Source organism: Homo sapiens, chromosome 4 (genome assembly GCF_000001405.40).
Source record: "Homo sapiens chromosome 4, GRCh38.p14 Primary Assembly".
Classification (NCBI taxonomy): Eukaryota; Metazoa; Chordata; class Mammalia; order Primates; family Hominidae; genus Homo; species Homo sapiens.
This window is the reverse complement of record NC_000004.12, coordinates 21,293,019-21,309,284: the sequence shown is the minus strand read 5'-3', so window position 1 is coordinate 21,309,284 and position 16,266 is coordinate 21,293,019. Positions and strand designations below refer to the sequence as shown.

Here is a 16,266-nt window from a genome sequence, read left to right as displayed (position 1 = left end):
GTCTTGAGAAGGCCAACTCACTGGGACTCTGTGGTGAAAGCGTAGAGAAAGTTCGCCCCCTTTCTCTTCTTCTCTTTAAAGCCTTCCCAGCCTGGAATCTAGAGAGACATAACGTGCCAAAATCCCTTTGTTCCCTGCCTCAGTTCATCAAAGGGCAAACTAATCTTTCATTTTATAAACATTATTTTTCTTCCAAAAGCCATATTGCTGGAATCAAAGCAGAAATGGGTTCATTACTGTGAGTTAACTGGTGATTTTGAATAAACTGCACTTTAGGGGTACGCTCTGAAGTGCAAAAGTAAGAGTGTCTCTAAGCACGTTCATTTTTCTGGGGACAGGCAAGAGATAACCTTCATGCAGCAGTAGAGCCTGAGCTGAAGGACTCCCCAAAATTGCTTTGAAGAAACTTCTTTAAATGGGGGCGCCTGAAACAGCCTCTCACCCTCCTCAGTAGTTACGTGAGAATGCATTGCAGAGAAGAAAATTTTGGCAAACTGTCACAACAGTGTCCCTTTTCTCTCACTGCCGCTTCATACTTATCTGCTACACACACACACACACACACACACACACTCACACGGCAGGGGCACAGAACTTTCTTGTATCTAACATTAATGCAGAAAGGGCGAGAAATCTTTTAAAAAGTCACTATCAAGTGTTGGGTTACTTATGCTGGTGATGTTTGTTTCATTGAATGCTTTGGGTATTCCTGGCCACTGTTACATGAGACACATGGGAAAATGTTATGACCATCAGCAAGCAGCTATCAGCCCCACTGGCTTCAGATGCTTTGGGATGTGGGGGAAATTGACTAGTCCTTCACAAGCCTTTGTTTCCTCATCCATAAGATGGAAATGTAAACCCCTCTCTTCCTCAAAGAGGGGTATTTAGAAAGGAAGATTCTATGTGTTAGGCCCACTGCTTGAAAACGTATGTGCTCCACGGAGATTAAGTATCATTTAGAAATATTATTGCACCTAATCCTCACAACACTTCCCTGAAGGAGGGATATTGGCCTCATTTTGAAGACCAGCAAACCAAAGCTTAGCAAGTTTAAGTAATCCAAACGAGGACAAAGATTTGGAGCCAGTATTTAGGTTTCCTCTTTCTGTTGGATGCTCTTAATATTTCTCTTTTAAAAGGGAATTCAAGGCCCTACAGGAAGAAAATATATTGGATTAATATTTTAGTTTGAATCCACGCTGCGACTTGAAGGTAAGAGTTGCATATGTAGTTAAGTAACTTTACTTATTTAGACTGCAGTGTTCTTTTAGCTGAAAATGAAGGGATGAGAGTGGATGCTATCCAAGGTACTTATCATCCACACCAGTGATTTTAAGATATTTTGGGCAGGGCAACCTTCTTGGCTGCCTTCCTTGTATTGCTTTCATTGTTCACGTGGGCAGGAACCACAAATCATATTCACATTAAATGCTGAAGATAGAGCACAGCTAATATGTGTGAGCATGCAGTGCTCATGGCTCACCTTAAAAAGAAGCAGTAGGAATAGGACTTCCTAAAAAAAAAGTATGGAAATCTCTCAGGCTCCCCAGGCAGAGGAGGCATGCTGGTAACAGGAAATTGGGCTCTGCCAGATCAGTGAGAGAGCAGGTAGCTTTTTAGGTGAGAATATCAATCAGATTATTCATTCAACAACCACTCACTCCCTCTTATTCACCAGGCACCATTCTGGGATTGAGGATATTATATTGAACAAGACAAACAAAAATCTCTACCCTCATGGGTAGGAGTTTATATTGTAGCAATTCTGGCAGAAGGAGACACTTAATAAACAAATATACATGCCAGGTGGTGACAATGCTTTGGAGGAAAATAACACTGGTTCAGAGGGTAGTGATTCCAGGGCCAGGTGAGGGAGGTTTTTCTATATAGTACAGTTAGAAAGGGCCTCTCTGTGATAGGAATTTTGGAACTAAGACCTAAGTCAAGTCACTTACTCATGGGAAGATATGGGGATAAGCACTGCAAGAGAGGGAAATACAAAGGCTGGAGCTAATGACATAAACATTTAAAAAAAGAAAAACCCTCAGGCCTTGGGATGAAAAACATAACAGCAAAGGAACCCGTAATTTTGACATCCAGACCAAGTGGAAGGACTCTCACTCTGATGCTCTTCAATAGTTCCTGCCGGCCCGGCACGGTTGCCAGGCACAGTTGCTCACGCCTGTAATCCCAGGACTTTGGGGGTCCAAGGTGGGCATATCACCTGATGTCGGGAGTTCAAAACCAGCCTCACCAACATGGAGAAACCCCGTCTCTACTAAAAATACAAAATTAGCTGGGTGTGGTGGTGCATGCCTGTAATCCCAGCTACTCAGGAGGCTGAGGCAGGAGAATTGCTTGAACCCAGGAGACGGAGGTTGCGGTGAGCCGAGATCGCTCACCATTGCACTCCAATGTGGGCAACAAGAGTGAAACACCATCTCAAGAAAAAAAAAAAAAGTTCCTGCCTACATATGTTTCTCAGCCCCAGGTCATCAACTTTAAATGTGAACACAAAGCACTTGACTATGGACATTCATATATAAGGCAAGCTGAAGGGCTCTGCAGAGTTCACTGTACTAGAAAAACAACTCCCTTTTGAGTTCCGAGGTGGTGTGTGTTTAAGTAATATTAATCCTGTGAATGAGGAGGAAGAAAGATCCTTGAGTTTAATTAACTACTAGTTTGGATGCTTTTCATGTTCCAAAGTTACCGGAGTTAATGGCTAAAACAGTGTGTCAGCCAGTTGCGGTAGCCCATGCATGTAATCCCAGCACTTTGGGAGGCTGAGACAGGAAGATCACTTGAGCTCTGGAGGTTAAGGCTGTAGTGAGCTGTGATCACACCACTGCTCTCAAGCCTGGGCTACAGAGCAAAACCCTGTCTCTCTCTCTCAAAAAAAAGAATGTCACAAAACAGTGTGGGGGATCATTTTGGGTATAACCTTCACCCCATGCTGATAAGCACTTGTGCCAATATTTGGATTTTTAATTCATTTAAAGCCCTGTTGGATAATGGGATGAAGTAATGGGTTTTGCATTAAACACATCAGAATTTGAAGCTTGGTTCCGTCATTCACCAGCTGTGTGACCTTGAGCCTGCTACTTAGGTTCTCTGAGGCTAGTGTTACACCTGCAAATCATCATCCCTACTTTTAGAATGTCTAGGAAGGAGCAATGCATTAAAGCATCTGGTGTGTAGTAATCACCTAATCATTGATGACTTTTATTATCCAGCAAACATCTATGAAGTAAGAAGTGCCCTCCATGGAGGCACAGTAGTGACTATCTAGATTAGCAAGGCATGATCTCTGCCCTCTGGCAGCCTACCCTTTAATGGAGAGAATGTATACCCATATGGCTATCATATAATACATCATAAGTAGGAAAAGTACCGTAAAAACACAAAAAAGAGAGATTTGATCCAATTCTGGTTGAAGTTTCCATGAAAGAGTTTTAAGAGCTTGACAGGCAGAGATGGTGTAAGAAGGTTTTTCTAAATAGATAGAGCAATTTTAGCAAAGTCCTAGAAATGGAAAAGCCCAGAATGAGTTTGGGTGAAGGAAGCTGAGCTGTCAGGTAGAGTGTATCGACAGGAGTAAGACCACTGAGGTGCAATCCTCAAGGAGGTACCGGATCACGGAGAGAAAAGGATGCTCTTCAAAGGAGCTTCAACTTTGTTCTGTAGGCAAATAGGGAGCCATGGAAGGTTTCTGATTAAGAGAATGATAAGAGGAGGACTGCACTTCCTCCAGATTGATTCCTCTGGCAACCCAGCAAAGTCTGAGTAGAGCATGGAGACACTTGTGAAAAGCACCCGAGGTGGTAGTGATTGAGCACTCACTCTTTTCTAAAAGTGTCACTCATTAATTCCCTCAACAGAGTGATGAGCTAGGTGCTATTATGCCTCTCTTCATAGATGAGGACATTAAGACACTGAGATGTTAAGTAACTTACCTAAGGTCACACAGCTAGTAAGAGATCCCAGCAGTCTGTCCCTGGAGTTTATATTCTAAACTTATACTCCACTGCCTCAAAAGCCAACCCCAAGTGAAGGATGCCTTCATTCTATCCTGCTCTGCCTTTTTGCCTCATTTCTTTTGCTCTCTTCAGTCCTCAGCTTGTTCATCTATGAAATAGGAGACTTTAATTGGCTTTCTAAGATGCTGTCTCTCTCTTGTAGTTTTTTTAAATTCTGTATTTCATTGTGGAGCTAATCTATTTGGGCAGTGTTAGGAGGAAAGAAAAAGATGAAACAGTTTGTGCAAGAGAGAGACAAAAACTTCCGCTTTTTTTCAGATTTTTTTTTTTTATTCTCAAACTTTTCCTGGCTCCAAATTTACTTACATCATTATTTATAAAGGATAGAAGGACACATTAAATACTGTATATATTTTGGTGTATTGAATGGTATGAAGTAGTGCAGAGGAGGTAGCTGCTAAACTCTAAGATACTATGCAAATATGATGAATACTTATTAGTTTATTATTCCCATGCTTCAAAAAGATATGATAGTTACTACTCAAACCAGAATATTAGTGCTCAGTGACTGAGCTTTCGGATAAGGTGACTCATGGGAAAGAAAGTCAATATTGAAGGACTCCCTTAAGCCTCGTTGCAATCTGCACTCAGCTAGTTGGGACAAAATACACATTTGGATTTTCCTTACTGGTCAACAATGTTTCTGAAACAGCTGAATGCAAGTTGTCACTCCACCTCTCAGCGTTTTCAGGTTTTTCTCCGTATTTCAAGGTGCGGTGCTCTGCTCCCTGTCTGCAGCAGGAGTCCAGCCCTTCCTTGGGTTCTCTTGTTTCCAAGGCAACTGGCCGGCCCAACAAAGCCACTGGTGGCGGCGGCGCGGCGCGCAGAGTCCCGGGGCGCAGAGCCATCTCCTCCGCGCCGGGCCTCATGTTTCCTCGGGACGTTCCTGGTGACCTCCTGGGTCCTCGGGTGATCTGCGCCGCGACTTCATGCGTGGCTGTCTCTCTGTGCAAGAGTGATAATGAGGAAGCCGATAATTCCGACAGGCCCGACTTTATCCGGCTGCTACTTCTGGCCTCTGCTACAGCAGACAGGATGAATGCATTTTCTGTCACTCACGCCCTTTTTCTCAGCCTCTCCATCTCCATCTAGTCTCTTTTCCCTTCTCTCTCTCTCTCCCTCTCTCTCCTCTGTCTCTCTCTCTCTCTCTCTCTGTCTCTCTCTCTCTCTCTGTCTCTCTCTCTCTCTCTCTCTCTCTCTCTCTCTCTCTCATACGCTCTCCTCCTCCCCTTTCTCCAGCAGTAGCCTTCTTAATGTAGTTTAATGGCTTTACAAAGAAAGCCAGGCAGAGGAGCACTTCTCAGTGGCTGTGGTCGGACCATGACCTAGCTGACCATGAACTTGGAAGGGCTTGAAATGATAGCAGTTCTGATCGTCATTGTGCTTTTTGTTAAATTATTGGAACAGTTTGGGCTGATTGAAGCAGGTTTAGAAGGTAAGGGAGTGCTTTTTAGTGACTTCTAAAAATTCTCTGTTTTGCAATGAAAATGTCTTAGGTGAATGTAAGAGGCACCTGAAATGAGATCAGAGAAATGTTACTCTGGGATGGACATGAAGGAAGCCAGGTTTTTCAGGGTAGGAAAGATTAATGAAATAAACTTTTTGTAAGTTGCAGTAATGTTTTCACAAGAGAATGTTAAAACTAGGAGAAACACTTTGGATCAAAAATGTCAGAACAAAAACTGAAGTAATTAAGGGTTTGTAATGGATCTACCTGCTTATTTTGAGAGTATTTAGTCCATACTGATGCTTGATTATTTTATCTAGTACCTCCTTTTATTGTATCGGCAAATTTTATTTGGGTATATTGTGAGATCACTCATTTCTTGCTATGCAAATACATTGATCAAATGGAAATAAATAGACATAATTTCTTATGGTCTAAGGTTGGAGCCTGAGAATGACAGGCTTTTCATAAAGTCTTCTGGAGAAGTGTTTATAATGTTACCTATTTTACATGCTAACAGAGATTCTAAGGGGAAAAGACTCTAACTCATATAACAGACTTTAACATAGATTCCAGGTAGCCAATTGTTTTTCAAGTATTGCTGTTTATGTTCATTAGAGGCTTGTTCTCCTGTTCTCCTTATCAATCACCTCTTTGTTTAAACAATACATTTTGTATTTGTCCTTATTGTTTCCTAAATTAAATGTTTCTCTGGGAATCTGAGTAAATTTACATTATAATTTTCTAACTGCTCAGAACACATTTTGAGAGTGTGTTTGCATACAGCCAGTCATTGTTTCTCTAAAGTTGGCAGAGCAATTTTTAAAAGAAGCTCTAGATGATGTTTGACGTAGTTATGTTTAGATATTTTCCTTGCTTCAAATTTTAAACTTAAGTAAAAAGGAAAATACATTATAAATGTATTTACATCCACAACTAATCCAGCCCTCCAGAGAATGGCTGCCACAGTGTAACATAAATGAGATTGCATTTACAAATAGCAAACATCAAATTAAAATAAGTGTGTCACTCTGATGTAGGTTACCAGAAACCTACATTTATAACTCATGGGGCGGGGGATGCAGGGCGCAGGAGGCGGGGGATGGTGGAGAGCTGGGTTTGTTTATTTAATTTTAAAATAAGTTGCAGAATGCTTTTGGTAGCCCTCTCTGATGGAAATATCTGTAGTTCTAGAAAGAGGATAAGTTCTAAAATCTAGAAGTGGCCATTGCTCTTTAAAACTGACTTCATGTTGTACACTCTCATGAAACCAGTAACTTGGTTTGGCTTCTCTGTTCATTTGTGTGTGTTATTTTAGTTGGCAAATGTGATTGGGATGTCCCATTTTAATGAACTGGTTTTTATTCTCTGTGAGACTGACAATTCATGGAACAATCTCAGAATTCCTAGCTCTGTTGAGGGACTTGTTTCATCTCATTTCATGGATGTTGTGTGGCCATTCTTTCAGCTCTTGTGTGGAAGGCTTTGAATCTGGATTTGGTGATGACACCTACTCTAGTATTGGTTCTGCTTGTTTCAGGAGCACAAATATTCCCTCTCCCAAATGAGAACTTGTGTTTCCTTCCTCTAAGAGCTGCTAACCTCTATGAAGTCTTTCCTTTTTATTATTGCTTGAATTCAAAGCTGTACTGATTTGTATGAACAATTTCTCTCTTGTACTTTACGTTTTACAATATCAGCATTCTCCAGGACAATCTTGGACTAATACTATGGAGAGAATGCACTATCTCAGAAACTTTAATATAAACTTCATATATGATTTCCAGTGATTGTTAGGAAGTAATTATAAATAGTAAAATGTTGATAACCACATTAAGGAAGAAATATTTAATGAATAAAAGTTGACAGAGATAGAAAGCAATAGTGTTTTTCATTTGGAAGTCTGTATAAGACAAATCTCCAAAGTAAATCTTAGAGTGAGAAGCCCTTTAAAACAAGATTTAATTTGACTAAATACTTTGCTAGCTGGAGATAAAAAACAAATGAATAGATTGATATAGCTGATTGTGTGTAGTTTAAGTCTATAGATCAGAATGTGTGCACTCTACAGTTACAGCCTAATTTTAATTAATAGAAGGATAAGCAATGTTTATTATCAAGCTAGCATCTTCATAGTTTTCTTCTGAAACTTTCTTAAAAAAAAGTACTGATGCTCATTTCATTCCGATTTCTTTTCGCCTGAGAGTTCCTTTCCTCCTGCACCATTTTGCATGTCTAAGTTCAGAAGATAATGATTTATTTCACCTTTCTTATTTCTGTCTGCTCAATTGTCCTATGAAAGAATTTGAATATTAAGTAGAAAATCTTGAACCTAGGTTAAAGCCTTATGAGGATGATTGTGAACTTTTTCCCTAAATCATTAAACCTCCTCATGTAAACTTACAACTGTTTTATAGTATACATGGTATTCACAATGTAGTTTTTTTGTATTATTATATTTGAAATATGCATATTGTTCTGAAGGACATATAAAATATGACATTTGTATAATGTAGTTGTTATTTTGCTTTTATCTATGTGTAGAATACATGTACTTCAAAATAAATTGGTAATATAAAAGTTTAAATTATTTGTATTTGCTTATCTTTAAGTGATTTGAGTTCTCCTTCATTGTAGAAGACTGGGGATTAGGTCCTTGAGTCTTGGGTCCTGTTCTGATCTATGTGTGATATTCATGAATACATAATACTACACAGAGATCCATGTCATATGTTTATAACCCAAGAGTTACAGTTAGCAGGTAACATTCTTTCTCCTGAGAATATAAAATAGTAGTTGGAGCACAAATGCTTATGCCTCCTCTGCTACTCTCTTGCTTTCTCTAACCTTGGATTAAGTCACTTTACCTCTCTAGTTTTCTAAAATGAGAAAACTGGGCTTGATAATCTCCATGGAACTTTCAATTTCAAAACTTCAATGAGTGTAACAGGAAATTAAAATTTGAGAATTTATGTAACACATATCATTTACCATAAAATAGATATCAGCGGCCTATTTTGGAATTGATATACAGTATAATGGTTAGACTAATCTTTCCTTCTCTTCCATAGTAGGATAATTCATCATACCTCAGGGAAATATTCATTGTATTTCAAGAGAATAGAGAAACATCCTTTCCTGTAGCTCTAGAATTTGACGTGTGGGGCTGCTGTTTCAGGCATCCTCATGATACCGTTTCTCGAAACTTAAGAGTTTCAATAACAAGTAAGCACATCATATTATTATTTATTAACTCATTTATTAACTTTTTTGGTAATTCCATTAATATTTATTACATTTTCTTTTGAAGAAAAGTAATCTTAATGCCAGTGCAGTAGGCATGAAAATAATAATGAGAAGCAGATTTCTAAGGATAAAACACAATACCTGTGGCCAGTGTTTTAAATTCATAGACTCTCTCTACTTAGTGGGGAGTTTAGGAGGCTCCAGAATTATGCTGGTTTGGAATACTCCTGAAACTTCACAACAGTAAATTGCCTTTTTCTTTCAACTATAAAAATGAAAGTGGTTTTCTGTTAATGCATTCCAGGGAGAAATTGAATCAAAATTTTAATGGCAAAGCAATTTCATTATCTCTATATGTAACACTGGGCTGTGAAAATATCTACTTTTCATCTAAATATGTATTAAATTATGCTGAAGCAGTTACTGAATTAAGAAAGAACCATCCTTCTACCACCCTTAATAAAAGCAAAATTTCACAAAAATGCATTATCACACATGACTTGAAAAAAGTCACTGTTATTGGTAATTATCTTTGATAAAAAGACAAAAAGAAATCAACTGGTAATCTAAGTCCTTCTTAGGGTAAGGACTAGGCTGTCTTTTGTATTTATTCAACTCACCTTATTTAGCAAATATCTGTAATACTGTAATACAAGCTTCCCCCAAGAGGCTTAATCAAAATATTAGCTGTATACACAAAGATGGATTTTTAGAACCCAAGTTCTTAATTCTGCTGTGCTGTTGACAGAAGTGGGGAAGTGCTGGATCTGTCAGTAAGTTGGGCAAATTCAAAAACATCACTGATGGCGTGTTCAGACCATGTTGCTTAATAAGGACCAAGGGGCCAGAGATGACTAGGAGGGGCTGATTTCCATCTCAAATAGCTTAGTTGAAATTCACAGAGTCTTGTTCTAATTCTCCCAGCATTCTGGTTCCTCCAGTGCAATGGCATGCCAACGCTTATGTGTTTTGGGGTATCAGAGAAGTCTTTGTAAACTGTAAAGTTTAAGAAAGAGAAAAATACTTTATATTAGAAAACTTAAACATACAATCTTTTTACACCATCTAGTAATGAAATAAAGGGAATACATATACCGCCTTTAGGGTCTCTTATGGTTCATCTTTTCTTATTTCAAGAACATTAATGCCTAAAAGGGAACTATTGGAAGAAAAAGATTTAGTATATTCAGAGATTACACTCAGAGGATCTAAAGTTATTTAACTTGGATTCTAATCACAGCTTCACTTATTATTAGTCATGTGATTTTAGACTATTATTTGACTGACATAATCCTAATTTTTAGCTATAAAATAAAACAATTATAAATAATATTAATATCTTTTTATTATCACCTATATGTCAGACATGTGTTAAACAGAGTATAGTATAGATATATTATTCATGTAATATAGTATAGTATGGCTATATCTTATTTAATCTTCACCAAATCCTTTGAGATAGGTAATCACTTACGCTTTAGATATAAGAAAACTTAGACCTATAGAGTCCACTGAATTTGGATCAAGGTTAACTCAGCTAGTAAGTCATAAAACTGGAATTCAAACTCAGGCCATCAGACTCCGTATCTTATTACATAATTTTCATTTCCTAAGCATTACAACATCAAGGGCAATGGCTAATAATTTTGCAAAGGGGAGAAAGTGTTAAATTAGGCATCCATTAATGGTTTTCCACAAGCCTTTCTTGGACGCATTCTATGCATGAAATACTCTCAATCACTTACATTATTTAACAAGCATAAGCATGTGTACTGTAATCTTCTAAACACAGTAAAATAATATTATAAAGGCACCATGTTATAAATTAAACAAACTCTTGTAACATGAATAAATCAGCATTAAATTTCAGTCAAATCAAGCGCACACTTTAGTTGGGATCTGGGGTAAAATTTGAAAAGAAAATAGACAGAAATGTTTATTCTCAAACTGAGAGTCGATCTGTTTTGCTTTGGGAGACAAATGGGATGGCTGGAAATAGATGGGGCAGAGAAGGGCTGGTGATTGGAGAAAGGAGGAAATTCAACATAAGATGCTACTGAGAAAAAGTGAGACCTTGAATCCAGGACGACTGTTATTTATGAAAAGGTCTGAGATGTATGGATTGGGTTGACTGAAGCATGGATGAAGGCAGTAAGATGATCCATATTGGAGTAATATTTTGAAGTAAGTGCATCCAGCATTGAATTAAAGCATAACACAAGCATCAATTGGGTTTTAAGGCTTGATGAAGATGGTCATCAACAGAAAACACACACCCCAACCTTTCTCAGCAAGTAAAAAACAAGAAGGAGCACTGATGGTTCTAGTTATTGAGAACAGAGTACAAGGGAGGGAAGAAAGCTTACCTTAGTTGAGAACCTGTATAAGACAAAGAGGATGAAAAAAAGTGTTGCATATGCCTCGCCTTGGAATTATCATCTCAATCATGCAAGACTGAAAGTGATATTTTGATTTTGCAGATGAATAAACTAGAAGTTCAGGGAGAATAATAACTTGCTTAAGATCACAAGGAAGTAAATGAAGGAGTCTAGATTAATTCCAATATCTTTATTGTAGCGCCAATCCAAAAGGCATTCATTGTGACTGCACAAGATAAATATTCCCAAGTAAGATAAAACATACAGAGATACATAAAAGTCATACACAGTATGAACTTCTCTTACAGAATATGCCCATTAAAAAAATTGTATTTAAGAATCTGATTCATTTTTTTTTTGCTTCTAGCTCTATGTAGAGACATTAGTAAAAGCATAGGTACTATAGTGAACCCAGAAAAATGAGGAAGAGGGAAAAATAAGAGAAGATATATCAGTAATTTACATAATTGTAGCTCTGATTTTTCAAGGTTTCATAGAACAAAACATCCTGCAGAAACTGCCAGTTTCAAATTGATCATCTTATAGATAAGGAAACTGAGTCCCAGAGAGACGAAATGAACTAAAAATGATTGGTTATTGACAGAACTCTTTTCTGCAAAGAAAAAGCTAATGAATTATATTCAGAAGATAAACTTCAAACATAACCTGTTTCATAAAATGCTTATTCAAATTGTAGCTCTCTTGTTATTCTGCTTATGGTCCAAGAATTTAGGGCCGAGTGATAGTGAAGTTGCTTTTTGGCATAACTTTAAGGTTAGAAATAGGTGCCATTACAAAGAACTATCAGGCTGAGGGACTTAGCCATAAATTGAGGTGTTTTTCACCTCTATGACTTGTCTGAATACGTTTAGTAATACTGAGCCATTACCATCTGGTAGCCAGTTCAGATACCCCACAGATGAATTTTTGGAAGGCCAAGGTCCTATAACAAATATATATGTCACTGATTGATTGGGTTGGGTTTAAAACTGGTCTGGTGGGTATTTGTTACCACATTCAAATAACAATTATTCATCTCCTTTCCAAATATATATATATATATATATACACATATTTGATATAGCACTTGACTTACCAGAAATTCATATATTTATACACACACAAACACACGCACACACACATACGTACTTATGTATGTGTGTATGTATACACACACACATACATATATAAATATATACACACACACAAGTCACGAGGGCAGTTACCTTAATTGTTCAACATGCCGATTATTAAATTCTAAATTCTGTACCTTCCTAACTGCTTGCTTTGGTGCCACCATCCCACAGATGTCTGCCCTTACCTCTCTGTTTGAAATTCACCCCCACCGGCCAGACTGTTTATGACAATTATTTGAAAAGCATTTGATTAAGTCAGTAGACTAATCATCAAGACAAATCTGGCTCCTGGAATTATAACAAGTGTGTGTTTCAGTTCTCATAGGGAAGCCATAGAATGTAGAAACTAAGAACACAGACTCTGAAGCCAAAATAATTGGATTTAATAATAATCCCAGCTGGAATACACCTTGGCTGTAGACATTGGATAAGCACTCCAACCCTCAGTACTTCAGTTTCTTTGTCTACTAAATTGGAATAATCATAGCACCTCCCTCTCCTGCTTGTTTTGTGGATTAATATAGTTGGTATTTCTATATGCTTAGAACCCTGTATAAGATTATAATAAGTTATTTGTCTTTTGCCATTATAGCTAAGAACCATCATCTTTCCATCAAAAAAAAAAAGAGAGAGAGAGAGAGACCACAGCTCAATGCCTTAAACCAAAAGTTGCTTCATTGCTTGGTAAACAAGTGAGAGCTGTGCTTGTAAGATGCTGTCACTCAAAACCAAACACTGCTGTTGCTATATAGAGTTTTAGGCTTTCCAAAGCATGGTTACTAATGCAAAATTGTCATTGATTGATTGGGTTGAGTTTAAAACTGGTTCTGATGGTGACTTGTTACCAAAATCAAAGAACAATTCATTTCCGTTCTTAAAACTAGAGTACAAGAACTTTTTCATGGTAAACAACATTTAAGATTATCTATTGAGAACTCCCAAGTGCCAGCTACTGTTCTAGACAGTGGGGATTCAGCCATAAGCAGAACAGATAAAGCCTCCATTCTTGCAAGTTCATCTGCTGAGTTTTGAGATACAAACCGTAAATGCTACAAAAATAAGAATCAAAGTAGTTGTAGTGGATTTCATTCATTCATTCATTCATTCATTCATTCACTAACTGCATGTGCCTCTATTGTGGTCCATATGTTGTCCTAAGCACAGTATATGAACACAGTTGCAGAGTTTGAGAAATGTATATACTATTGGGGAAGCAAGACAAAAATATAAATAAAGGAATATATAGGAATATATAATCCAATATTTAATAGAGACAAGCACAAAATATAGCATGGGGACAGAAACAGGGTGTTATTTATCAAAGGGTTGTCAGAGAAAGCCTTTCCAAAGAACTGACTTGTTTGAAAATACTTAAATGAGTGCATGAGACATGAGAGAGTCTGGGATAAGAGCATTCCAGGCAAAGGAACCGCCACATACAAGAGACTCTGGTTAGAAGTGTGCTTCATATATCCAAGGAGCACAGGCAGGCTAGTGTAGCTGAAGCAGAGTGAGCTTGCCAGGGTAATGGGAGGAGCAATGGAGGGAGAGCCAAGGTCATATCCTACAGGGCCATTATAAGGACTTTAGAACTTACTGTTTGTTACTGGAAAGCCATTGAAGGGTTCAAATAGAAAGTCTCTACACAGTTCCTGATTCTACCTTCTTTTATACGCCCTGATATTGTTTCTGTACCATAGCTGCCTACTCCAAGACACCTCTTTGCTCTGCACCAGATACCACCAGGGCATGGATTCAACACTTATTTTCAGACTTCCTTTATATGAAACAACTGCCTGTGGCCCAATCTTTCGTGTGAGCGCAAGCCAAAACTTCACTGCTCTTCATTGATCTAGGTTTTCCCTCTACCTTCCACATGGGGTGAGCAGGTCTAGTCTTCATTTCTTCTTACCAGGTTGCTTCAACAAGCTGGGATATATACCACACTTATAATTACACTTTTAGGAGCAATGTTAATTGTCTTAATAGGACTTTACTAGAGAAGGAATTTCGAAAAGTCAAATAATATTCCTTGAACACTTGCCATAGTGAGAATATTGTGACAGTAGAGGTAAAAAGGTGAATTTCACACACAAAAAAAGAAGACAATGTTGTTATCCTTTGAGTAGTTCCTTCTCCCTCACTTATCAGCTTCAAAGGGAAATATTCAAATTGGGCACATTCCAAGTTGAGATGTGAATGATACATTAATATCCCAGGTATATGTACTAATACATATTTATTGGAACTAGCAAGAATCATAGAAAGTGTAGTCCAGCTTCCTCATTTTATGAGTAAATTGAGGCCCAGGAAGGTTAATTGACTTGTTAGAAATCACAATGCTATTTGGTAGCATACATATTGTAATAATTACATTATCTATAATAGAGTGATCATTATATTCTAGGTGAGGACCTCACCATTTTACATATTTGTAGTATTAAATTTTTGCATATCCCTGTAAAAACAACCTTATTAGCCACAATTATAGGAATTCTAGCTCTTCACTTAAAAATCTATTGTGAATGCTTTTCATGATATTACTTTTTTCTAGTTTTATTGGATTATGCCCAGGAAAATGGGGAAGGTTTACTGGTACACAGGCAGAAACAAGGATTCTTATAAAACTAATAGGTATGCCAAAATGCGATGACACAGTTGTAGTGAGGCTGGGAACCAGGCTTTGGTTCAGCAGGGAGTTAGGGCCCAGATCTTGTTGTTGAAGGTACATAATGGGAAGACACAGAGTCAAATCCTAAGTGCCTGGTGCTCAGGCATTCAGGAGGTATCAAATGAATATAGTAGGGGAGTCTCAAATAGAGAGGTTCCAGAGCTGGTAAGCAAGAAGATGGCATTAGATGCTAATAATATCAAACACACCTTAATGAGCACTTTGTTGAGCATATGTCAGGCACTATGATCAAGAATTTATATGATCATTCATATTAACAGTTTTTATGATCCAGTTGTATTTGAAAATTTAACAAATGACAAAGTATATGCTTGTGAAATTTCAGCCACTCACCTAAGATCATATAACTAGAAGTGGTCAAGGCGGGATTCAAAATCAGGCTGCCCACCTGGAGAACAAAGGCTCTCAACCACCGTGTTCCTGCCTCCCAGATAGGGCTAGATCATGATCAGAGGCAGAATTAGGTTTGAAGTAAATGAAGATTAAGCTACAGAGACTTTCAAATGCATGGACCCCTTCCCATTCCTAGTCTAAATAAATGTTAACTTCCATGCCCAATTTTACATATGATTTTTTAATTCTTTTCTCATAGACCCCACTTCCCCAAATCATATGTGTTTCAGATCCCACAATACCAAGATCTGCTCCTGTTGTAATCTTAAAAGATCTTGTCTTTTCTTACATGATTAAAATTCATGACTGGGAACACAGAAAGCAAGATCCAATCCTATAAGACAGAGGGTAGATATAAAGTTCCCATTAGGGGTCCCCCTGTCTCTCTGCCTATCTCTGTGGCCATTTAGACTTCATGCCTGACACAATTAGGATGGGATTATTTGACAGCATGACATTTCCAGTAGACTGCAGTAGAATGTAGTCCTATTTCCCGAAGGATTGGCTAAGAAACTCAGTTGAACTCGGACTTACAGGAAGGTCTCAGGGGCTGATTGACAGCGTGGCTGAGTGGAGAGAGTATGGACTTTACCATTTAAAAAAATCCATAGACTTGAACCCTACCTCCTTCATTTAAGAGTTGACATTGGGTAACATACTTGACTCCTTTGAGCTTCAGTTTCATCTTATGTAAATTGGTCACTGTTGTTAAGACTTATAGAGATGAATGGAAGGTAGCTGGCTCTATTAATATATCCTATGAATGTAACCATTAATTATTAGATACAATGTAAGAAGCCAGATAAGACAGACAGAGTAGATGAGGCAAGGGTGAATATTATCTCCTATTTATTATCATTTGTTTTACATATGGTTATCTATCCATGTCCTACAGATGTCGAGTATCACCCTAAAACTGTTTGTCCTGATG

General features: G+C 37.9%; 1 protein-coding gene across 7 annotated transcripts in view, besides 1 other annotated feature; it reads left to right on the top strand.

Moving 5' to 3' along the window:
- KCNIP4 (potassium voltage-gated channel interacting protein 4) overlaps positions 1-16,266 on the top strand; it is a 1,220,167-nt gene that overhangs the window by 639,488 nt on the left and 564,413 nt on the right. The window contains exon 1 of one of the 7 annotated variants that reach the window (NM_147183.3): positions 5,379-5,478. The exons of the other annotated variants lie outside the window; for them this stretch is intronic. Coding sequence (NP_671712.1) covers positions 5,379-5,478 — 100 coding nt within the window. Of the gene's footprint in view, positions 1-5,378; positions 5,479-16,266 lie in introns of those variants that run through there. 7 annotated transcript variants of the gene reach the window in all.
- Positions 4,836-5,336: an enhancer, noted in NCBI's record as "H3K4me1 hESC enhancer chr4:21305572-21306072 (GRCh37/hg19 assembly coordinates)". NCBI's record gives its function as "activates a minimal SCP1, AML or CMV promoter by ChIP-STARR-seq in primed H9 embryonic stem cells {active_cell/tissue: H9 hESC(primed)}" and the evidence as "EXISTENCE:reporter gene assay evidence [ECO:0000049][PMID:30033119]".